The 24,835-nt window shown below is 44.0% G+C and overlaps 1 protein-coding gene and 1 long non-coding RNA gene across 6 annotated transcripts in view; one reads left to right on the top strand and one right to left on the bottom strand.

The window, feature by feature from the left end:
- Positions 1–21,539, top strand: part of AKNAD1 (AKNA domain containing 1) — a 42,344-nt gene extending 20,805 nt beyond the window's left edge. The window contains exons 8-16 of one of the 2 annotated variants that reach the window (NM_152763.5): positions 2,384–2,511; positions 2,912–2,993; positions 6,790–6,881; positions 10,138–10,235; positions 13,752–13,874; positions 13,963–14,070; positions 16,814–16,895; positions 20,263–20,392; positions 21,138–21,539. In NM_152763.5, coding sequence (NP_689976.2) covers positions 2,384–2,511; positions 2,912–2,993; positions 6,790–6,881; positions 10,138–10,235; positions 13,752–13,874; positions 13,963–14,070; positions 16,814–16,895; positions 20,263–20,392; positions 21,138–21,269 — 975 coding nt within the window. In that variant the 3' untranslated portion in view covers positions 21,270–21,539. The remainder of the gene's footprint in view (positions 1–2,383; positions 2,512–2,911; positions 2,994–6,789; positions 6,882–10,137; positions 10,236–13,751; positions 13,875–13,962; positions 14,071–16,813; positions 16,896–20,262; positions 20,393–21,137) is intronic. The other variant, NR_049760.2, reaches the window with a different exon arrangement.
- LOC105378891 (uncharacterized) lies at positions 232–23,850 on the bottom strand. Of its 4 annotated transcripts, none has more exons than XR_007066273.1 (5): positions 20,188–20,265; positions 13,722–13,790; positions 3,104–3,250; positions 972–1,191; positions 232–479 (listed from the first exon to the last, which is right to left on the bottom strand). It is a non-coding gene; the product is annotated as an uncharacterized LOC105378891 (long non-coding RNA). The 4 variants fall into 4 exon arrangements; XR_947687.3 differs by lacking the exon at positions 20,188–20,265 and adding an exon at positions 23,798–23,850 and having other exon boundaries at positions 437–479; XR_007066280.1 differs by lacking the exons at positions 232–479; positions 972–1,191; positions 3,104–3,250; positions 20,188–20,265 and adding exons at positions 12,765–13,409; positions 23,798–23,850.
- Between the last annotated feature and the right edge of the window lie 985 nt (positions 23,851–24,835).

The following is a 24,835-nucleotide window of genomic DNA, read 5'->3' as shown; positions in this document are numbered from 1 at the left end:
ATTTAACTTTCCAAAGTCCCATGAATTATATTATTTTAAATGGAACCAGCTTTTAAAGATTAGAAGCTATTTCAAGTGTTAATTTTTGAAACATCTTTATAGTTTAGGATGTAACAATGCTGTTTAAATCCATTAAACCACCGAAGAGCTATTTCTTCCAAATTAATAAGAAAATTTTTGTAGATCATGCCTGGAAGAAATAATTTTTTTTCTTCATAGTTTTGTACTCACCAGGCTGGAGTGTGGTAGCACGATCTCAGCTCACTGCAACCTTTGTCTCCCGGGCTCAAGTGATTCTCCTCCCTCAGCCTCCCAAGCAGCTGAGATTACAGGTGCATGCCACCACTGCCTGGCTAATTTTTTATATTTTTGGTAGAGATGGGGTTTCACCATGTTGGCCAGGCTGGTCTCAAACTCCTGACCTCAAGTGATCCGCCCGCTTGGCCTTCCAAAGTGTTGGGATTACAGGCATGAGCCACCTGAAAATAAAGAATAGCACACTCAGTGAAATAATTATTTCCCATGAATCCACTTCTGCATTTTCCTTCTCTCAAGTTAAATTCTTTTGGATTTCTACTTATGCAAGATTGGGAATTCAAATTAACCACCACTGTCTTTCTATACTTTTTGCCTTTGTAGCCTCAACTATCAGAACATTCAGACTAAAATCAAAATTCTGAGAAACAGAATCATTTAAATAAATACCTTAAATTGACTCTTTAGTTTCATACAGTATTTGAAGACACAGCCTGGGGCTGATATTCAAACTTGAATGAGGATTTTGTCAAAGCGAAGGACAAAGTGACAAAGATTATGTCAAGGTTAGCCCTTCCGAAGAAGTGTTTGCCTCCTCAAAGCACTTACTTGCCTGGCAAAATCTCACTCATTCAAGGCCCAGCTCTAGCGTCAGGTCATTTATGCATCCCTAGTCAGCCACCCTCCTCACCCCCAAGCCCCCCAATCCCCCGCACCTGGAGGAATTCTTGGCCCCGGCCTCTGTGTCCCCGCAGCACTGGGTCTCGTTTGTCTCTGTGACTCTGCACTCATCTTTGAATCCTGAATGTCCAGCTGAAAGCCCAGGAGAGTCGATGCTTCATAGAGGAAGCCCTGAGCCACCGTGGATGTAACAGCCCATCTCAAGGCACCCAAGCAGTTTCCAGGCTCACAGCGGCTGCCCTGCTAGTCTTGGACCTGCAGGAGTCACAAGTCTTTGTGAGGCCACCTCAGGGTTGGCCCTGCCCTCTACCTGGCAGCTCCCTGGGGTCTGGATCTGCTCTTCTTTACTTGGTCCCAAGTTTACAGCTACTGTTGTGAAATGATGAGAACTCTCTAAATAACTTTGTGGTAAGTGGTTCTGGAAAGAGTCTAGTGCTGGCATCCTTCATTCACTCAGCAGTATGTATTGCTATAGGCTAGCACTTTTCTAGGTATTGGGGATAAAACATGAACAACAAACAAATCACCTGCCCTCAAGATGCTTACATTTCTGTAAGAGAGACATATACTTAACAAATTAAGCCAGGTGCGGTGGCTCACGCCTGTAATTCCAGCACTTTGGGAGGCTGAGGCAGGCGGATCACGAGGTCAGGAGTTCGAGACCAGCCTGGCCAACATGGTGAAACCCCGTTTCTACTAAAGATACAAAAAATTAGCCGGGCGTGGTGGCGGGCGCCTGTAATCCCAGCTACTTGGGAGGCTGAGGCAGGAGAATCGCTTGAACCCGGGAGGCAGAGGTTGCAGTGAGCCGAGATTGCGCCATTGCACTCCAGTCTGGGTGACAGGGCAAGACTCCATCTCAAAAAAAAAAAAAAATTAAATTAACATATAATTATGAAATGTTAAAAAGCACAGTGCAGAAAATAATAATACATTCTGCGTGACTCTGAAGCCAGACTACCTGGGTTCACATACTGGCTCTGTCACTTATTAGTTTTGTGATCTTAGGAAAGTTATGCAACCTCTCTGTGCCTCAGTTCTCTCTTCTGTAAAATGCAGATAATAATATTTGCCTCACAGGGCTGTTATGATGTTTAAATGAGTTAATATAAGTAACGTACTGAAAATAGGGCCTGGCTCACAGTGAGTACATTACTCCTGGGTGTTAGCTATCATGACTATTAAGTAATGGGATATGACCAAAAGTAACTAAATGCAGAAGGTTTGAATTACTAAGGGAGAAGGTTTTTCAGAGAAGGTGAGATTTGGACTGAGTCTTGGAGGATGAGAAGACAGCTAGGTAAAGAGCTGGGGGAGACAGGGGTGGGGGGACGCCAGGCAGGATGTTATGGTGCCTTAGGGGTGCTGTAGGGATGCTGAACTGATTTTGAGTCACCTCCAGTGGGACTGTGGCTCTAATTCAAGTCTTTCTGTGTGGCTCCCCCAGATTCCCAAGGAGCACCCCGGCCACCCTTCTGGGCCTCGAGGCTCAGGTGGGAGTGAGGTAACAGGGACACCCCAAGGAGGGCCGCAGGAGGCCCCCAACGAGGAGCTCTGTGAGCTGGCCCCGCAGACGTGAGTCCTAGCCCTGGAGCCCCAGCAGACACAGGACACAGAAAGAGGCCCCTTCCTCATGCAGCCTCCAGGAAGGCCCATGAGGCTCCCACAGGAAAAGCAGTCTTGGACCACGAGTTACAAAGCCTGGTAGCCTGGCTCCTCACCTGCCCCACCAGCAGGGCCTGGCCAGCCTCTGCAACCCTCTGGGCAGAGATCTGAGGGACGGGACAGCTGGGGCTGGGGGACGCGGGGAGAGGTGAAGGTCAAGTGGCCGCATGAGGCCCATAGCACTCTCTGCCTTAGGTTGCTCGCTCCCACCATCCCAGGGGTGATGCCAAGTGATTCCAAATAGTGGAGCTCCCAGGTAGCTCAAGAACTGATTCTAACATTCAAACTGCTTTTTTTTTTTTTAAATTAGTTACCTAAACGGTCATTATGGAGATGCAGCTGCCCAGAACAAGCCAGACCAAGTGGCCATGAGGCTGTCTTCTAACTCTGGGGTAATGTCCTGCAGCCGGGGCCTGGCTGGGTTCTTCTCATTGTTGGCTCTTTAACTAAAACCAGTGTTGCTGAATGTGACTGTGAAATTGGCATAATCAAGATCACTTACCTCTTCCTAATGGCATCCTGGGTGTCAGTGCTGGTGATGGCTGGTACTGCTGACGGTTTCCCACTTTCTGCACTCCTGAGAATCTCGGCAGGCGTACCTAGACCGGAGCTTCTCCAACTTCTCCGAGCCTATGAATCACCTGCAGATCTTGTTAAAATGCAGGCTCTGAATCAGTAAGTTTGGGGCGAGCCTGCAATTCTGCATTGCTAACAAGCCCCAGGTGATGCCAAAGCTGCTGGTTCTGGTCTGCGGACCACATTTTAAATTCTGAGGGTCTAGAGATTATTTCATTTCGAATGAATTGGAAATGCTGGGATTACCAACCCCGGGGTCTTAAATGATATTATATTATAATATTATAATAAGCAGTAAACAATGATATAATAATTATGTTGGCTCAGAGCTTTACAGTTTGCAAAGACTTTTTGCAGAGGAAGAGTAGTTTAGAAAGGTGATATTTGTTCAGGGTAAATGATAGGTGATGCCCGGGTCTCCAACTCAGGTGGAGGGGCACCTCCCTGCATTCTGCTAATGTAAATCTGCCTTAAATGTCAGTGGAGGAGTAACCCTGTAAGCTCAGCAATGATAAAATATAAAAATTAAAAAAAAAAAACCATGGGAAAAATGGATGAAAAAACCCTTTTTTTTTAAATTATAAAACTGATACATGCTTATTACAAGAGAAATGAGAAAATAAAGAAAAGTATAAAGAAGAAACTTCCACTGAGAGGAAAATCAATCTAATTTTTTTTTTTTGAGACAGTCTCGCTTTGTTGTCCAGGCTGGAGTGCAATGGTGCGATCCCAGCTCACTGCAACCTCTGCCTCCTGGGTTCAAGTGATTCTCCTGCCTCAGCCTCCTGAGTAGCTGGGATTACAGGCATGTGCCACCACGTGCAGCTAATTTTTGTATTTTTAGTAGAGAGGAGGTTTCACCACGTTGCCCACACTGGTCTAGAACTCCCGACCTCAGGTGATCCACCCACCTCAGCCTCCCAAAGTGCTGGGATTACAGGCATGAGCCACTGCGCCTGGCCCATTGCTAATATTTTAGTGTATATCCTTCCAGTCTTTTTTTCTCCTATATATACATTTTGGCCAAAATAGGATTTTACTATATATATTGTTTTATGCTTTTCATTTAATGTTATATTTTGAGCAGCTCTCCACATCACTTAGAATAAACTATCGCTTCATTTTTGATGACTGTACTATATTTCATTATACTAATGTACTCTGACACATTTAGACAATCTCTTATTGATGGAGATTTAGTTTTTTCCAGTTCTTTGATATCATAAACACTGCTTCAGGTAACATCATTTGACATGCAAACATTTGTAGTTGATCATTTCCTTAGAATAAAACCCTAGGATTGCAGTTAATGGTTCAAATGGTACATGCTGAAAATTCTGATAATCTGGCCTTTAGGAAGTCCATGGGGGTTTATAGGCTGAGGGCAGTGCGTGGGAATGTTGGTGTCCCCAGTTTGAGCCTACCCCAGACATTTTTTTCTTTTTCCAACTTTTGCCAAATGCATAAGTGAAAACTGATATCTCATTATTTTAATCTTGCTATTTTTGAAACTCAATCTATTTTCATATGTTTCTTGGCCACTCGCACCTCCTCCTTGACAATATTGATATTTTAAGTTGTTTACAAAACTGAAACCACCATCAATTAAAAAAAATGTAGATAGACAACTGAGAAAATATTAAGGGCAAATAATGTTCATTGTTGAGAACTTCATTATATCAAATGCTGTGACAAATTCCCCAAGGAGCAGAACTGTGGTTAAGAACACAAGCATACTGGCCGGGTGCAGTGGCTCGCGCCTGTAATCCCAGCACTTTGGTAGGCCAAGGCGGGTGGATCACTTGAGGTCAGGAGTTCGAGACCAGCCTGACCAACATGGTGAAACTCTGTTTCTACTAAGACATACCAAAATTAGCTGGGTGGGGTGGTGTGTTCCTGTAGTCCCAGCTACTTGGAAGGGAGGCTGAGGTGGGAGAATCACTTGAAATTGGGAGGGAGGTGGAGGTTGCAGTGAGCCAAGATTGCGCCACTGCACTCCAGCCTGGGCAACACAGAGAAACTCCATCTCAAAAAAAAAAAAAAAAAAAAAAGAACACAGCATACCAGTCAGATAGGTAAAAGTTAAAATCCCAGCTTTCCCACTTACTCATGATGCAACCTTGCCAAATTGCTTAAATCCGCCAGGCCTCAGATCACTCACCATTAAAATGGCGACAACGTGCCAGGATGGTTGGAAGTATTAAGGAGACTATAAGGGAAGCACCTGGCACATCATGAACAACTAGCAAATGGTAACAGGAAAACACTGAAACCCTCCAAGAAAATTAATGGACAAAGGACATGAGCTAAAAAGTCACAAGTAAGGCCGGGCGCAGTGGCTCACACAATTACTCACAATTAAAGTAATCCCAGTACTTTGGGAGGCCGAGGTGGGCGAATCATGAGGTCAGGAGCTCAAGACCAGCCCGGCCAACATGGTGAAACTGTCTCCACTAAAAATACAAAAAATTAGCTGGGGGTAGTGGTGGGCACCTGTAATCCCAGCTACTTGGGGGGCTGAGCCAGAAGAATTGCTTGAACCCGGGAGCTGAGATTAGGCCACTGCACTCCAGCCTGGGCAACAGAGTGAGACTCCGTCTCAAAAAAAAAAAAAAAAGTCACAGGTAGGAAATACAACCAATAAATCAGCATATAGGAACAGACTTATTTCCTTTAGTCACAGAGGAAATGCAAATTAACACAAAAGGTGACACACCCCTCCCTTCAATTAACAGAAACATTTTCAAGTGATAATTCCTGATGCAGAGGAAGGTGTGGTCAAACTGAGCCGTCCACACTGTTGGTGGCTGTGAAATCTGTACAACTTTTGTGGAAAGCAATTTGGCAATATGGGTCATCACACAAACATGTTCGCAACCTTTGGCCCAGACATTTCCTCAGGAAGTAATCCAAGATGTGGAAAAAGCTATGTGTACAATGATGCTTCTGCCATTGTTTATAATGATGGGAAAAGTACATTTATTTTTTACTTACATAAAGGGTAAGACCTTAGTCAAAAATACACAGTGGGTGGTAACAGCCCTCACAGGTCAGTGGAGTAATTGTTTTGTGTTAAAGAGGGACATATAACCAATCATTTAGGCCCCCAGACAGTCCCTAAACCCTGTTTTAATTCATAGTTGAATATATTTATTTAGAAAGGCTTTTAGAGCTCTACTAGCCAGCGGTCAGATTAATAGATCTAAAAATTATGTTCCTAAATCTGTTCATTATCTGGCGAAGCTTGGAGTAATTTGAAACTAAGGGAAAGATAAAAAGGGGAGAGTATTCTGTCATCTGTACACCAGATTTTAAAATCTGTTTAGAGGAGGAAGGAAGCAAGCCAGGGTGGAAACTTCCATTCTTCAGCCCAGGCCATTAGAGGCGCAGCCCCGACTGAGTGACACATCAGAACTAAGGATGGGCTCTTTCTTCTTTCCCTCCTGTCCCCCTGCGCCTCCCTTTCCCCAACTGGAGGAGAGGTTTGGCGAGTCTCTCTGCCTGAGGTGGCAAGTTCAGCCGGACCTCAGCTGCTTGCTGGGCTGTGCGTGTGCAGCCGCGGCGTGAGTCACATCCTCTATCACATCTCCATCTGTGTGCTTTGTGGCGCAGGAGGATCCCAACGGCACTCCAAGAAGGCAGGATTGTGCAGAGATGACGGCACCCAGTCCGAGCTGTGCCTTCTGTCGCAGGCTCCTTGAATGGTGAGGGCTTCTTGTGGCTACATTCCCAGGGTGGATTGGAGTCAGTCCTGGCATAGTAACTCCAGTGAGAGTGGGCGGCAACTAACTGAGGCCACTGGCTGAGTTATAGAGTCACAGATCTCAGGCCTGGGCACAGAGCCCAGCCTCCCTCGCACCCTACAGATCCTCTAGCAGTGGTCCTCAACTGGGGAGACCATCAAAATCACCATGGGAGATTTTACAATCATGCACATGCCTCCATCCCACCTACTGTCTCAGCATCGCCAGCGGTGGGGCTCTGGTAGGAATATTGCTTTTAAATCTCCCCAGGTGATTCCGATAAGCCCCCTTGGTTAAGAATCATGGTTACAGCCCACGGAGGGTGGTCCTGTAGGCTTTTGATCATTGCCCACATGGGGGATTCTTATCCTGTATAACAAACAGCTCCCACCATCCCTACTCTCTCCTTATGATGAGCAAAAGTCTTCTCTGTTGGGTTTCACCTGAGCCCCCCAGTCCCAGGAACAAGCCTCATCCCTCTTCTCAGGGCTGATTTCTTCCCATTCCTAAGGACGAAATCTTCCAGAGCTAACAAGCTGTAAATCATGTAAAATCCTCAGGAGAAATCCTTTGTTTTTGAAACACCCATTGGTGCAACTATTAATCTGTGTCGATTCAGTATCATTTATTTGAAGCTTCTTTCAGGTAGCGAGAGATGTTACCTCTAAGCTCACTGTGGACTCCGGCCAAAGCTCGGCTCATTGACCTTTGGAAGGTCAAGAGTCAGGGAGGCAGCAGGTGTTTAGCAACCACTGTTATATGTACGTAATGGATTCTAATAGAAGCAGATGACAGGGTCTGAAAGACTGAGGCTTCCTGTTAGAAAGCATTCCATTGTGGGAATGGGCACCTGCCTTAAGAGTTCTAATGAGTGTCCACCCCTGAAAAAAGAAACTGCATGAAGCTCGTGCTAAAAATGGTCATGTGTCATTGTGTGTGGGTCATTAAACCACCATGTCAGTCATCAGCTTTGAGCTGCCCTTTAATCCAAGGGGCACTCATGAAGCTTACTCACTGAGTCATCCCAGGCCTACTATTTTTATTTATTGAATTAAAGTCTAATTTTGGATTTTTAAAGGTTTTACTAAGTATAATGAAAGTATTTTGACATTAAAGAACCATTTTTATTAAGCACTCAAGGTACTAAATTTCTCTCTTCTAAATTCCTAGTCTAGACCCTACAGAAGTACATTAAGTACCAAGACAGGGACCAATGTTCCAGACTAAATAATACTTTTTTATGATAGACAAGCTGGAAAGACAAGCACAACCAAGTGTAAAATCAAATCTCACAGTGAATCCACTGCTGGGGAGTGATGAGAAGATACACATGACTTATGAATTAAAATCTTGTAACTTACATAATCCCTGAGGAATTATTGATTGAAGGGAGGACTATATATTCTTTCTGTTAGAAGATTAAATCTCTCTCTGATGGGACTTGTCCTTTATGAAGCTTGCTGAGGTACATACTGTTTTCAGGATATTTGTAAATTGTTTATATATAAGTGGATAAATTACATATGTATAAAATGTAAAATATGCTTATCCCTTTATGTTATTTCTGATGCAAAACTTTGGATTTAAGTGTGTACTTTAGCTGCTTTGTCTTGTTGAAAAACTGTCTTCTCCAGAGGAATTATGTTTGGCCAGAAGATTTGAGTACACAAAGGAGTTTAAAAGCAGAAAAAGTCCTGTGTTGGACTGCATGCACTTGAGTGAGATCCAAGTTTCCCACTTTGGAGAGCAGATGTTCAAATGCCCCAGAGGAGAAGGGTGGAGACAGAAAATGAGGTGTGAGAAAATATGTGACTCAAGAGGACAGCATGTTTTTCCAAGAGGAGGGAAAGAGCCTGGCTTCTCAGCCCCAGCCCCACAAACCCGCAGCCCCATCCCTTCTCCGCCAACAGCAGGCCAGGGCACAGCGCGGCGAGCATGTGTTTGCCCAGCAATGCCTTGGGCTCAAACCCTAGCCCTGGGCAATCTGCCTCATTTATGCCAGGATATCTCGGGCACAGTGCCTTCCATACTAAGAATGAACAACTTTCCCTGGGGGCTATGACTGTATCCCAGGAGCTTAGCAAGAGCTTTGTTCAGAACTGTTATTAATTCGAATTCCTTTGGAGGAGTTGGGATTTCTGAGGAGGAGGGAGGAAGCTGCAGGTGGGCCACAGGAAGGCTCCTGAACAATGTCCATTGCAGTTGCTTCTTTCTGACGCCACCTGGTGGCCATGTGCAACTAAAATCACCTTCACGTGCTCCCTCAGCCTTTAGTCCCACAGACACCCGGCAAAGCCCACTTTGCTGGAGTTGTTGGATGTAATCAGCTTGTACTTCCAGGACCAAAGCTACGTGACCCATTACTGACGTATAGCATAGTTTCTTCCCCTGGTAGGAACTGTTTGTTTGTTTGTTTGTTTGTTTGTTTGTTTTTGAGATGAGGTTTTGCCATGTTGCCCTGGCTGACCTTGAACTCCTAGTCTCAAGCCATCCACCCTCCTTGGCCTCCCAAAGTGCTGGGATTACAGGCATGAGCCACCATACCCAGCCTGGAATGGATTTTGATGCATGAGGAAAACTCCAAATTTTATAATTCCATACTTCAAATGTGTTTTGTGAATGTGTATGTGATGATTAGATATTAACCTCGGCAGAACAAAACATTTATTTTTCATGTCTTGTATACATTTTCTTTTTTTTTTTTTTGAGTAGGAGTCTCGCTCTGTCACCCAGGCTGGAGTGCAGTGGCGCGATCTCGGCTCACTGCAAGCTCCGCCTCCCGGGTTCCCGCCATTCTCCTGCCTCAGCCTCCCGAGTAGCTGGGACTACAGGCACCCACTACGGCGCCCAGCTAATTTTTTGTACTTTTAGTAGAGACAGGGTTTCACCGTGTTAGCCAGGATGGTCTCGATCTCCTGACCTCGTGATCCGCCCGCCTCAGCCTCCCAAAGTGCTGGGATTACAGGCGTGAGCCACCGCGCCTGGCCTGTCTTGTATACATTTTCTTATCAGGCCAAATTGTGCTGGGGTGCAATTTCTTGTAGAAAAGCTCTCAAACAGGCAGGCAGAGGAGAGCTCTGTGTAGAGGATGACAAGCCCCTCCTACACTGTTCCAGGCTCTAATATAACAAAATTTAACGTTTCAACTTTACCAAAACTTTCCCTATCTATTGGAAATGCACTAAAAGTTTACAGGATCTTATGCACCTTTTTTTAGGAAGCAAAACGTGGAGAAAAAGGGCCACGGAAGGATCAACTGTGGAAGATTTTCAATTGTCCTTCATGAAAAGGCACCACACTCAGATTCAACTCCCAGTAAGTTGATGGGCTTGGGCTGGGTGCTCATTTTTCAGTGTCCCTCCCCATGGGGTCTGCTCGCAGTAGGCACCAGCTTGCCATCTGCCACTCCAAGAGCATTTCCCTACACTAGGATGTTGCATGTTGTATTTATTTATTTGCAAAATGTAAAGAATTAATAGGCTGGGCATGGGGGCTCATGCCTGTAATTCCAGCACTTTGGGAGGCTGAGGCGGGTGGATCACTTGAGCTCAGGAGTTCAAGACCAGCCTGGCCAACATGGTGACATTCCATCTGTACAAAAAAAATACAAAAATTAGCCAGGTGTGGTGGCTCACGCCTGTAGTCCCAGCTACTTGGGAGACTAAGGTGGGAAGATTGCTTGAGTCCGGGAGGTTGAGGCTGCAGTGAGCCATGATCATGCCACCGTACTCCAGCCTGGGCGACAGAGTAGGACCCTGTTTCAAAAAAAAAAAAAAAGAAAAAGAAAAGAAAAGAAAAAAAGAATCACTTTCAATAAGATGTGGTTAAGTAGAGTAAAGCATGAACACCTGTTTCTAGCTGAAAATGAAGGACTCCATGGACTCAATCACAAGATGTCATTCAGTCTGTCCATCCTCATCCTTCCCACATGACCCATAACTGTACCTGGTAAGGTTACTGGCTACGTGAGAATTGCTGCTGCTTTGGATATATGCATTTCATAGAAGCAAAGAAAGTTGGAGCTGGGAGGTGCCCCAGTACACGCAATTCAATGGCTTTTAGTCATAAGATCCTTTTTTTCAAAGATAGTTTAAGGAGAGAAACATCTAGCAGAACTGCCCTGGGAGAAGAGGTGGGGCTGGAGGCCTCTGCTCAGGCAGCTTCTGAGCTTAAAAATCACCTCTGAGCCTAACCTACCTACCCAGCTTGTCTCCCCAGCTTATGCACCAGGAAGCTGCACTGGAGAGCTACCCAGGCTTTCTTACATCTGCACTGCCTGTGGCCCAGAGCCATGCCTCCAGCTCTGCCTTCTGTTATGTCACACTTGGTTCTGCACTGGCTTCTCTGTAGATGACACATTTCCAAATAATAATAGGGTTCATTGATTGAAGACGTATTATGCCAGATGGTATAACAAAGTAGGAGTTTTCCAGGTGTAATCGGAGGGTCCCTGGGGTTTCCTGAAACCCTTTCGGGGGGGCCACCAGGTCCTTCCTTTACCAGCCATATAGCTGTGCAACGCTAGTATTACAGGCAACTGATGGAGATGCAGTTATGGAATCCAGTTGCCTTTTATTAAGCCAGATATTCAAGATATTTGCCAAAACGTAAAATGATGCCACTCTTCTCACTAAATTTTTTAGAAATAGTTATTTTCATTAAAAACTGCTATTTTGTTAATATGACATGGATTTATTACTTTTTAAATGCCATAATAAATAAAATTATCTTTTAAACCTCTCAGTTTAAAATTCTAAAAAAAAAGCGCCTTGGAACTGCTCATTTAGTTTTGGGAAATCTAAATGATTTGCACAAGCAAAAAATGACTAGTAATCTATACATTAGTACTTCTCTACCAATCCATCTGCAGTGGACTGAATGTTGAATGCTAGCTGTTCTCCAATGAGGGGGGATTTTCACCTCAGGTATATAAAATGGTATATATTATCATTTTATGGTAGATTAAAACCACAGAAACAAAGGCTGTTTAGGGTCCTCAATTTTAAGAGTGTAAAAGGGTTCTGGAATCAAAAGTTTGAAAACTGTTGCCAGTGTATGTCACATAACTCTCACAACATCCCTGTAATGCAGGAATGATTATCTTTATTTTATAGATAAGGAACTAGAGGCTCAGAGAAATTAAGTGACTTGACAGGACCAAAGAGTGAGTGTGAGTGAGTGTATTAGCTATCTATAGCTGTGTAACAAAGTATCCCAGAACTTAAGGCTGAAAACAACAAACATTTATCATCTTAGAGTTTCTGTGGGTCAGGAATTTGGGAGCACTTTAGCTGGGTGGTTCAGGCTCAGGGTCTCTCATGAGGTTTGGTCAAGTTGTCAGCCAAGGATGCCGTCATCTGAGGGCTTGACTGGGGCTGGAAGATCTGCTTCCAAGATGGCTCACTCACATGAGCATTGGCAGGAGGTCTCAGTTCCCTGACATGTGGGCCTCTCCAATAGGCTGCTTGAGTGTCATTATGACATGGCAGCCAGCTTCCCCCAGAGCAAGTGATCCAAGAGAGAAATACCGAGATGGAAGCTTCAGTGTCTTTCATGGCCTAGGTTTGGAAGTTATATGCCATCACTACCGCTTTATTTTATTTGTTAGAAGTGAGTCACTAAACCCAGCCTATACTCAAGGAGAGAGGAATTAGGCTCTACATTTTAAAGAGTGTCAGTTGGGTGTGGTGGCTTATGTCTGTAATCCCAGCACTTTGGGAGGCTGAACCAGGATTGCTTGAGCCCAGGAGTTCAAGACCAGGCTGGACAACATAGGGACCCAATATTTAAACATAAAAACAAAACAAAACAAAAAAAACACAGAAGGTTGAGGCTTATGATTGAGCCACTGCATTTCAGCCTGGGAGCAACAGAATGAAACCTTGGCTCAAAAAAAATAAAAATAGCACGTTAAAGAATTTGTAAACATATTTTCAACCATCATAGCTAATAAGTAGCAGAGCCAGGCTTCAACCCTGGGCCTTCAAACTCATTCCATTTGCTAATATGAAATGGATTTGTTATTATACAATGAAGTTACTATATATTGTATAATATGTTAAAAGTCAAGATGTCAGCCAGGGATGACTTCACTTTAATGTTAAAAATGAGTCTAACCATGAGTTCAGTAAGGCAAGAAGCATTGGAAGAGGCTTTGTCACTGCAGCATCTGTCCTGCAGCGAGATGTTGCTTGGACATTCAGTCCTGACATGCTCACCCGCCTGGCCCCAGGCTTTCATACTCTGGCCTTACCTGGAGTGCTGTTCCGTCCACAGCCTGCCAGACAGGTTCTAGACCTGCACCAGATACACATGCTGTCTGCTACTAGCTTCTTTGAGGCTAAGAGAGCAAAGTCATGATTCAGGTTCCCTTATAGGCTTATGAATGTCACATAGAAGAAACCCATCTTTCCAGTTGTCTGGATGACAAAATACAAGCTCTTGGCCACAGCAGGGTCTGAGAGAAAGAATGTGGATGTATCAGGCCAACTATGGAAAAACAAATACAAATACAAGGTTGTCTGATAGTTCAGTGGGCCAAATTGCCGCAGATCCATTCATTCAGCAGACCTTTACTAAGCCTAAATATGTATGCTACATCTTGAGATTTTCATACAAGAAATGTTAATTATCAAAACATTTCTCAGTTGTCAGAAGGGAATCCCAAATGTTACCCCAGGCTGGCAACTCCTCTTGGTGACACAGCCGGGACATTAAGCACTTTGGTGCCAAACACATACCCTGCACAGTTACAGCTCTGCTCTCCACACCGTATTTTATGACTATAATCAAGACACTTACCCTTCATTCATGCAACTTGGGCTTTTTCAGATTCTGATACAGGACACAGCTTCTGTTCTGATTCTGGCACTGAAATGCAGAGTAACAAATGTCAGGACTGTGGCACTAAGATTCCTACCTCCCGAAGAGCCTGCAGGAAAGAACCAACTAAAGGTAACACTCACCTGGGGCCTCAGAAAGGCGAGTGGGGACAGTCACTGTTCCCAGGCAATTAACTGTATTTTTAATCTTTTCTTCCCAGAATTTCATTATAGATACAACACTCCAGGACAGAATTACTCAAATCATAGCAAAAGAGGTGCCTTTGTCCAGCCCCATTCTTTAGATGAAAGTAAAAACTCTTCACCCTGTAAGTACATCTCCTGCATGACCCCATCCATATCAACAACCTAATGTCCCAGGTATGGGACATTCACATGACACTGGCCACTGCTTCCATCTGGGAAGCCCTGGCCTCTCCATTTTGCTGCCCAGGTCTTGTGCACTCACCTGACACTTCCAAATCCAGCCCTACATCTGGATGGCAAGAGGCTGAGCTGGGGCTGGAAAATATGAAATCGCAGTGACCAAGGACTTTGAAAGTTATTAAGGGCTACACCAGTGCAAGTTGGTAGCAACCCATAAATGTTTGCTGAACAAATAAATGACTTACTGGATAATCACTACTATTATTGTTACTATTCAGAGGTGGCTAATGCTTTACATATATCCCTACTAAGAGTCAGCATGTAGAGAAGTAGACTATTTTTACACTCCATAGACATCATGTTGCTAACTTCCAATGCAAAAATTTGCTGTCTTTGAAAAAAAATTAAAACCCTACAAACACATATTTAAAAAGATGAATGACATGGCTGCTCCTTCCCAAGCTCTTGAAAGAAAGAAACTCATACCCAAATAAGGAGAGCTCAAAGCAAAATGGGGTAAGTTCAAAAAGCAGGGCAAAGTGTGCCAAGGGAACAGGAAGGAGGGAAGGAAATACTCCTAGTTTTACCACTGAACGACAGCTATACCTGGTTCTCTGACAGGCGCTACATCCTTGGCCTCATACCTTCAGAGCTCTTCCTCTCCTTCTCTGGGAGAGGGCACCAGGGAGAATGTTTCTTATCTTTCTTGATGGTCAGTGCCCAAGACTTAAGAATGTCATTTACCTGACTGACCTCAGCTGTGTCTCCCCTCCCCACCTCCAGCTGCCACATCCTCCAATTGCATGTATTCTTTTGAAGTGACAGTCACTAAGACTGGAGAAGCCACAGGACAGATTTCTTCACTATCTCCTTGGTTTTGAGGTCTACAGCCTGTGACACTTGTCATGCCAGTATACGAACGAGGGCTGCAATGGATTCATCCACAATGTGATCTTGAACTCCATTAGCTAACTAAGGGGGTAGAAGTCATAAGGAGGCAGCTTTTCCTCCAGGTTACAAAGACCCTTACAGCAACTAGAGCAGACAGAAAATGGAGGGGGCTGTGGCAGGAGGTTGTGAGCTCATCTGTGGACTGGAAGGCAATGGATTTTGTCTGGAAGCTGTAGATCTGTACACTGGACTAGAACCGGACCAGGTGACACTGTGGTGCTTTCTAACTCTGAGTTTCCAGTAAAATCCAAAATTACATTTGGAGACCACCAAAGAATCAAGATTGAGCTCATTAGTGCCTCTTCATCATGCCCCAAGTCTAGGTGGTCAGCATGACTAAATCTTGGTTTCTGGCTTCTGCCCTGCCTTGCATGTCTGAGGGACAATCTCTCCCAGCATCCTTTGTCCAACGGGAGCCTCCTGAGTGTGAGTGAAGCCTGGCTACTTGACACCAATGAATAAGACAGGAGACCTGGAGGGAGAACGAGGGGAAGACAGAGAGAAGAAGAAGAAGAGGGAAAGGGAAGGGGAGAAGGGAGCCTTGGTGACAGAGAAGGCAGATTTCTTGGCCACTGACTCGTCTTTTTTCCTTTATCTGTCTTTCTTCTTGTTTTCCATGGTGACTTTTCCACATTTTCCTTCTGTGTTTAGACTCTATTTTCTGGAATTGTCTTTGTAACATAATCATTAATTTCTACTCCTAGAATCTTAACTCCTAAAATTGAAGAGGATTTCAGAAATCCATTTGGCCCAACCTCTTGGAAGATATTATTTCTCCATTTATCAGATGATGTGGTTGTTAAACCCAGAGAAGTCAGATGTCATGCACAGATCACACAGCAAGCACCCAGGGAACCTAAACTCCTGGTTTCTATCTGCTAATAAAACCTTTTTTGTTGTTTTGTTTTTTGAGACAGAGTCTCACTCTGTCACCCAGGCTGGAGTGCAGTGGCACTATCTTGGCTCACTGCAACCTCCACCTCCTGGGTTCAAATGACTCTCATGCCTCAGTCTCCCAAGTAGCTGGGATTACAGGCACCCACCACCACACCCGGCTAATTTTTGTATTTTTAGTAGAGACAGGGTTTCACCATGTTGACCAGGCTGGTCTTGAACTCCTGACCTCAGGTGATGTGCCCACCTCGGCCTCCCAAAGTGCTGGGATTAAAAACATGAGCCACCACGCCTGGCCTAAAACTCCCTTTAAAATTGAATTTCTTTTCCTAAGTTCAGAATACTTCATAGAAAGTTCTTTATTAAAAATTTCATTTTTAGAGACAGGGTCTAGCTCTGTCGCCCAGGCTGGAGGGCAGTGATGTGATCATAGCTCAATGCTTCCTTGAACTTCTGGGCTCTAGTGAACCTCCTGCCTCAGCCTCCTAAGTAGCTACAAAACTGTAGGCACATGCCACCATGCCCAGCTAAGTTAACAAAAAATGTATAGTTAGTATGGAAGGGGTTTATGAATTTTTTTTTTGTAGAGACAGGGAAGACTGGTCGCAAACTCCTGGCCTCAAACAATCCTCCCACCTTAGCCTCCCAAAGTGCTGGGATTACAGGCGTGAGCCACCGCGCCCAGCAAAAGTTCTTTGTTGTCTATGTTTCCCAGTTTTCTGATTTATTAAAATTTTATGAAATATTTCATTCATACAAAAAGTTCAAGGAATGATACATAGGCACCATTTGGGGCTCATTTTTGATACTCTGAATTTAATGATAGCTAACATTTTTCAGCTTTTTTAAAACCCAAACGGATCTGTTCTCAGAGAGTGAATTCAAAATCCTTTAAAGGTGAACATGAGCCCACACCAGGAAAGTAAGTATTATTTCATTATCAGTAACAAAATATTTCTCATTGGTTGGGTGGATACAGTGTACTTGATAGTGCATTAACTACCTACCCCAAGATAACCTAGATGATTAGGAGTAGAGCCAGGATTCAAACCTAAACCTATCTAATCCTTCAATCATTCATTTGTTTATTCAATAAACCAAGTCATTGTACTAGGTACTGAGAACACAGGACAAAGTCAGCCACTGTCCCTGCCCTCACAGAGCTTACTTTTTTGGCAGAGAAGCCGCATAGTCTTTGTAAGTGCCAAGAAGGGGACGTACAAAGTCCCATTGATCTAATTTGGGGGCTCAGGGAAGCTGAGCTTCGAAGGATAAGTATGAACGAACTAGCAAGGGGATCTGGGGGCAGTGAAGAACATTCCAGTCTAGGAAAGCTTCCTGTTGTGAGAAGGCACTTGGCAAGTTCAGGAATGGTGTGGCTGGAACCCAAAAGAGGGAGCGGCAGTGGAGCAAGATGAGGCTGATGAGGAAAGGTTGGTGGAATTGTCAGGGCCAGACCGTACAGAGACTTGTCAGCTCCAGGAAGTATTTCAGAATCTTAGGAGCAAGAGGAAGCCAATTAGGGTATTTTTTTTTTTTTTTTTTTTGCTGTTAATTCATTTTTATTTTTAGAGATAGGGTCTCCCTCTGTCACCCAGGATGGAGTGCAGTGGTGATCATATCTCACTGCAGCCTTGAACTCCTGGGCTCAAGTCATCCTCCCGCCTCAGCCTCCTGAGTAGCTAGGACTATAGGTGCACATTAAAAAAAAAAAATTTGTAGAGACAGAGTCTTGTTATGTTGCCCAGGCTAGTCTCAAACTCCTGACCTCAAGTGATCTTCCCACCTTGGTCACCCAAAGCACTGGAATTACAGGTGTCTGGCCCCCCAGTGAAGTTAAAAAAAAATTTTTTTTGAGGCAGGGTCTTGCTTTGTTGCCCAGGCTGGAGTGCAATCTTGGCTCACTGCAGCCTTGACCTCCTCGGCTCAAGTGATCCTCCTGGCACAGCTTCCTGGGTAGCTGGGAGTACAGGCATGTGATACCACAGCTAGCTACTTTTTTTTTTTTTTTGGTAGAGATGGGGTCTTACTATGTTGCCCAGGCTGATCTTGAACTCCTAGCCTCAGCAATCCTCCTACCTCAGTCACCCAAAGCACTGGGATTACAGGCATGAGCCACTGTGGCAGGCCCACCCAATTAAGTTTTTTAATCAGGGAATTTAAAAATTTCTTAGTGTTTTAAAGGGTCAGTCTAGCTACTGAAGGAGTGGAAACGAATTAGAGGAGTTAAGATTGGAGGACAAAGGCCAAATAAGAGGCCAGTGCAATAATTCAGGTGAGATGATGCAGCTTGACCAAGGGTGGTGGAGATGGAAAGAGAAAAGTCTGTGTATTCATTCAAGAGCTATTTAAGAGACAGAACCAATAGCGCAGCAGAGTGGCTAACAATTCAGGCTCTGCACTCAGAGCCACTCAGTCTGAACCTACTACCCTCCACCATAGTCTAGCACAGTGTTTAAGAACGTGACCTTTGGAGACTTCTTGGTTTTTTTTTTTTTTTTTTGAGATGGAGTTTCACTATTTCGCCCAGGCTGGAGTGAAGTGGCACGATCATGGCTCACTGCAACCTCTGCCCCACCAGGTTCAAGTGAGTCTCCTGCCTCAGCCTCCCGTGTAGCTGGGATTATAGGCACCCGCCACCATGCCCAGCTAATTTTTGTATTTTTAGTAGAGACGGGGTTTCGCTATGTTGACCAGGCTGGGCTCCAACTCTTGACCTCAGGTGATTCACCCACCTCGGCCTCCCAAAGTGCTGGGATTACAGGCGTGAGCCACCATGCCTGGCCGACTTCTTGGGTTTGTCTTGGTTCTGTGTCCTTGGGCAGGTTCCTTGACCTATGTGTGCCTCCATTTCCCCGCATGTAAAGTGGGAATCATAATGGTGCCAAACTCATTGAGGACTGAGTCCATACATATAAAGCACTTAGAATGGTACCAGGCTCATAATAAGTACTCAGCAAGCGATGGCTGTTATACTGTTGACAGTGGAGACTGATGGGATATGGGGAGAGAGAGGACTCTGCACCACTCTGCTATCCCCTGCCCAGAGTATTTCATTAGTTAGGGGCCCCGGATGCTGGACCACCTCTTGCCTGGAGGATCAATCCAATGTGTTAAAATAACTTGCAGAACCAATTGATGCTCCTATGGTAGGGGAGAGGGATGAAAGGATATTTTCTGGAGATGATATTCCTCACAAGTGTTTTATGCACCAAAGTAATGCTTAACAGAGGAAACCTGAAGCCGGAGGAAGCTGTGAGGGTGGCTCTATGACTGCTCAGTCAACAGGCAAGTTCTCATGGCATCCCTCAGGGCCACTGCTCATGCTTGAGAAAAGCCTAACTCCAGGCAGTGCCCTTCACAGACTATGCAAATAACCCCCTAGAGCCATGCTCTGCACAACCTTAACAGCCCAGTGGCCCTGCACCCCTCACTCACCTAGTGCAGACTTCTGGCCCATCCCTGAGAGAGAACCAATCACAGTGTAGCAGGCAAGGGGAGCCTGTTTACTTCAAAAGGAGCTGCTTTTATTTTTTGACTGCTTCTGCCTCCTTGGGGTGAAAGCTCACTGGTGCCAGAATGAACTCAACCCAAGGTACCTGCAATTGGCAGTTTTGTGTATTTGTTTTATAAAAATGCAAGGTAGAAAGTTGGCCCCAAAAGGCCGGACGCGGTGGCTCAGGCCTGTAATCCCAGCACTTTGGGAGGCCGAGGCGGGCGGATCACGAGGTCAGGAGATCGAGACCATCCTGGCTAACACGGTGAAACCCCATCTCTACTAAAAAAAAATACAAAAAATTAGCCGGGCGTGGTGGCGGGCGCCTGTAGTCCCAGCTACTCGGGAGGCTGAGGCACGAGAATGGCGTGAACCCGGGAGGCGGAGCTTGCAGCGAGCAGAGATCACACCACTGCACTCCAGCCTGGGCAACAGAGCGAGACTCTGTCTCAAAAAAAAAAAAAAAAAAAAAATTAAAAAAAAAAAAAGAAAGTTGGCCCCAAAAGAATGAAAACGGAATAAAAAATGTGTTTAGAGTCTTGCCTCTTTCTGTACTAGAGGAAAAGGAGATCAATTCCGGGAGAAAACACCCGCATGGTCATGGCAACAACCATTTTCTGAAGCCCAGCTGCGGTCAGCCACATGGGAGTATGAGAGCTAGGAGGGCAGCGGGTGCACGAATCCACCCACACCCAAACCACACAGAGCCATTACCTACCACAGAGCTGACGTGAACAGGAGTGTGCTTGAGGGTGGCGCTTGACACAAGTATCAATGTGCTTTTGTCTTCCAGAAAAAAACTTCAGGCTTTCATGACCTACAGCTCAGACCCTGCAACACCCTCACCCCATTTCTACTCCTGCAGGATTTCTGGAAGCAAATCCTTATGTGACTTTGATAGCACTGAAGAAATAAAATCTGAGGTGAGGACTTAGAAAATCATTCGAGAAGCATTGCAGCTCGTAAGTTTGATCTTGATGCCCACAGAACTGGCAGCTCTTAAGTTATTACAGTATCAGAGCTTCAGAAAATGCTCTGCTAAAGACAATTTTGTGCTCAGAACTAAGCTAAAGACACACAGCCTCAGCAGTCGCAAGGTTTGTATTATTCTAAATTGGTTCCAAGGGAAATTTCCTGGAGAAAGTGATTTGTGGGTGGTGCCTCAGCTACAGGATTTCCCTGGCCGGGGGTTGAAGGCACTGGGTCTGTTCCAGTGACACTGTGATCAGAGTTGCCAACAGTTTCCTATTTCAAATCACTAACTCGAATCCCCAGGCCACTTTCAAATGTTTCCATACGCATGCGCTGTATCCCTGAATACCCTCTCAGTGGTTATGGCCCCCCAATCCCCATCAATGGCCTCTAAGAGCTGTTCTTTTTTTCTCTTTCTCTGCGGCAGGGAAACAGCCCAGCTGGCGGCTGACCTCACCCTCTGATTCATGCTCATCAGTCACGTGCTGGTCTTTTTTTCAATCCCTTTCCCTAACAAATATATTCCATCTCAGACTGGTCTCCTAGGAAACCAACCCTCAAAAACAGAAATAGACCAAGAGGAAAACAGGAATACTCCCCAAATTCCACCTTGTAATGTTTAATAATGAGAGAACCCAAAGAACAGAAACAGCAGTTAGTTTATGTAATTAAAATGTGTGGACTTTTCCTCTGTAGATTTTAAACTCGGCTTTGGATCATGCCCTAAGGACAGCAACCATTTTGAAAGAAACTACAGATCAAATGATTAAAACGATTGCAGAAGACCTTGCTAAAGCACAGAGGTGGAGGAATCGACTGAAATACTAGTTCAACGCTAGGCTACCAAGGATTCAAAAGAAAAAAATGCAAAGAAAACTTGATCTTCCCCCAAAATGTATTTTACTTACTACACAATTTAGGAAGATGACTTTCTAGAGAAAACACAGAAACCATAAGAAATGGGTAACACAAAGTACTTAAAGGAAAAAGAAAAAAGAAAGGACTTCTGATTCTTAAAATCAAAAGCAACCAACAAGTATTTATTTTAAAATAAATCTATGTTCTTCTTAACTCATAATAAAAGAAATCAAAACAAAACAATGAATTTCCTTTTATCTATTAGTCTGAAAAAAGATTAAAGTTTGAAGAAACCCTGTGTCAGTGAGGATGGAGGGAAACTGGTACTCTCATATGCTGTTGGCAGAAATGCAACCTTTTTGGAAGACTATTTGGTAATATCTACCAAGTTCCACAAATTCCAAATCATGTACCTTCAGAGCAGCAATTCCACTTCTAGGAATTTCTTTTACATATAAGCCACACAATGTGGCATGATATATGTACAGGGAAGGGCACTGGAGCACTGATGGTAACAACCCCAAGGGGGAACTAATCTAAATACCCCCTGTGATGATTCATAAATGACAATACTTTGTGGCCACCGAAAAGAATGAGGTTGGATTATCTGCAAAAGTCAGTGAAAGAAGCAAGATGCCTAAGCATATATATAGAGAGTTGTAACCTCTGGGGTCTTTCTATGTTGCCCAGGCTGGACTTGAACTTCAAGCAATCCTCCCGCCTTAGCCTACTGAGTGGCTGGGACTACAGGCACACACCAATGTGCCTGGCTCTTCATTTGTGTATTTTTTTTAAAAGGGCATACGTATTTTCAGGAAAGATACCTAAAAATCTGAAGTGAACCTCTAGTAAAGGAAACTGGGAGTTTTGGGGGAGAAAGGGGTTTTTACCTTCTTTTCTGTACTATATGAAATTCTCACAATATACTTATAAGTCAAAATTATTTGTTTAAAGATCGCTTGAAGTCAGAAATATGTGAAAATAATAGCCTTAATGAAATTTTGGAAAAGACAATTCATTAAAACTGTGTACCAGAGATTAAGTACATTTTCATGCAGACCAGAGCAGGCTTTTTTTTTTTTCCTTCCAGATCAAGCTTTTGCTTTCCTTCTTTAAGAGTGATTTATTACCTCCTTAGTGACAGCACAGCAGGGTATTGGCTCTTTCCCCCTTCCCTGAAACTTCTGATTTTCATTCACCCTAGACATTCAACAAATGGTTTCCCAACTCCCAGAGTTTGGCTCAGTGGTCAGGAGGGAGTTGAATCTATTCCCACTTTAGATTTTCGTGCCAATGTGAGCAGCTGGTATTCGTCTAGCTGGCTGGAGAATGGACTGTTTTTAACTTTGGGGTTTGTAAATTGGTTTAGGGTGCCCTGGAAGAGATAATGCACAGGTCAGTCTGAAAATACCTCTGACTTTATGGCCAAATTTACTTCAGGCTGTGGCACTGTAAGGAAGATAGCAAGGAACCATGGCTGGTATTAGAAAAAACAGAGCTTAAACTGTGTATGTTCTATTAAATAAAACTTATGGGAGGTCATTTTTTTGGACTAAGCTCCTACAGGGGACCCCAACAGACCAGACCAAACTAGAATGGAGTCACTCATGCTAGGTGCCACGTAATCAAACTGAACTTTAAAATAGGTCAGTTTAAAAGAAAAAAAAAAGACCCAGAACATTCACAGTATCCCATTAGAAGGGGCCCCGTCAACCTGAGCTGGCATAAGGAAGTCCCCTCTGCTTTAACCCATATAAAGACACCTTTTGTTCCTTGTTTCCATTTTCTTCTGTTTTTTTCTGCCTATAAAGCCCACTCCTGTGCTCAGCCTTTCTATTTCATAGATAGGATGCTGCCTGATTCATAAATTGCTAATAAAAGCCAATTAGGTCATTAGACTTAATTTGTTGACATTTTGGTTTTTGGCAGTTCCAAGAGGCTTCCAGTATCATCACATATCTAAATTTAATCACAACTTGCTAATCTGTTTTGTATGTTAGTACCACTATCTCATCCCCAAGTTTAAAATCATATACTTCTCTGGCTTGAAGTGTTCTTATATGATTCATTAGTTCTTAACCTTTTTTGGGCTCATTTTTTGGGAATCTGGTGAAAGCTATGGAGTCTCCCTTCCCCCATGCTCTGCCTTCTCGTGGAAAAGAATACATTCATTTTTAAAAGTTCGTGGACACCATGAAACAAATCCATGGAACCTTGGTTAGAAACGTCTACCATTAACGAATATTTCTAAATCCCTCAAATTAACATTTATAGAAATTGGTAATTATAATCATTTTTGATTTAAAAATATGGCCCATTTCTGCTTTATCAAACCATATTCTAAATGTAATTTTCCATTTCCTTGAAGATTAGGGGTCATTATGAGCAATCACTGCAACACGACTAATCTAAGAAATAGCAAAAAAGGGCAGGCAATGCCCTTAAGGAGTTCCACAAAGACACTAGGCTCTGATTTACAAGGATAATTTTATACTTACTGATCCTGTAGTCTTGGCCATCTCCTCCCTCATGCAATTCTTGTGTCAATTCTAATGACCTCTCTTCTAATTCTGTTCGAGTAATAAACCAGAAAAACAAGCTTGTGAAGTAAAAGTAATGGTACCCCTAATGCTGGCATCAAGGGACTCAGCATTGCCTGAGGGCTGTAAAGAAACACCTGGCAGTCTCCAGGGTGCACAGGCCTCTCAGTATTTACTCCAAGGTCTAGCTGTGCTCTGGCCGCTGGAAGCTGCCAGCAGGATGCAATGGGACTGTCTATAGAGGGCTTTTTATCATCTTTTTATTATTTTTTTTTATTTTTATTTTTTTTGAGACGGAGTCTCACTCTGTCGCCCAGGCTGGAGTGCAATTGCGGGATCTCGGCTCACTGCAATCTCTGCCTCCCAGGTTCAAGTGATTCTCCTGCCTCAGCCTCCCGAGGGATTATAGGCACCCACCACCACACCCAGCTAATTTTTGTATTTTTAGTAGAGATGGGATTTCACCATGTTGGTCAGGCTGGTCTCCAATCCCTGACCTCAGGTGATCTGCCTGCCTCGGCCTTCCAAAGTGCTGGGATTACAGGCGTGAGCCACTGCGCCCGGCCTATCATCTTTAAGACAAAGTTCTAGCCATCCCCTTTAGTTAACTATTATAGTTTGCAAAAGAAATCTCATCTTTTTATCCTATTATAATCTTGCTGTTAATGAATTATATAAAATAGGCCTAATTTGTACTAAATACGAATATGTGTTTATATTTAATAGAAAAAACATTGTTTTGGTGTTAAAAATTTTCCTATAGAAGGAAGACATTTCTTGCTCCTTTGATTTTAGAAGAAATCTGCTTGCATTCCAATAGGACTTACAATGGGTACAAATACCTAGGGAAGAACTGAGTTATGGAGGTGTCGTATCTTACACAATAAACTGTGGGGTCAGGCCCTTTGGGGCTCAAATCCAAGACTTTTGAGATCTTGTGAACTCCTATTGTGATCCTGGAGCAGTAAAGGCTAAGGGTCTAGGAACCAGGATAAC

This window comes from Homo sapiens, chromosome 1, assembly GCF_000001405.40.
Source record: "Homo sapiens chromosome 1, GRCh38.p14 Primary Assembly".
NCBI classification, from domain to species: domain Eukaryota; kingdom Metazoa; phylum Chordata; class Mammalia; order Primates; family Hominidae; genus Homo; species Homo sapiens.
Note: the sequence above shows the minus strand (reverse complement) of the source record. Positions and strands in the feature narration are given on the sequence as shown.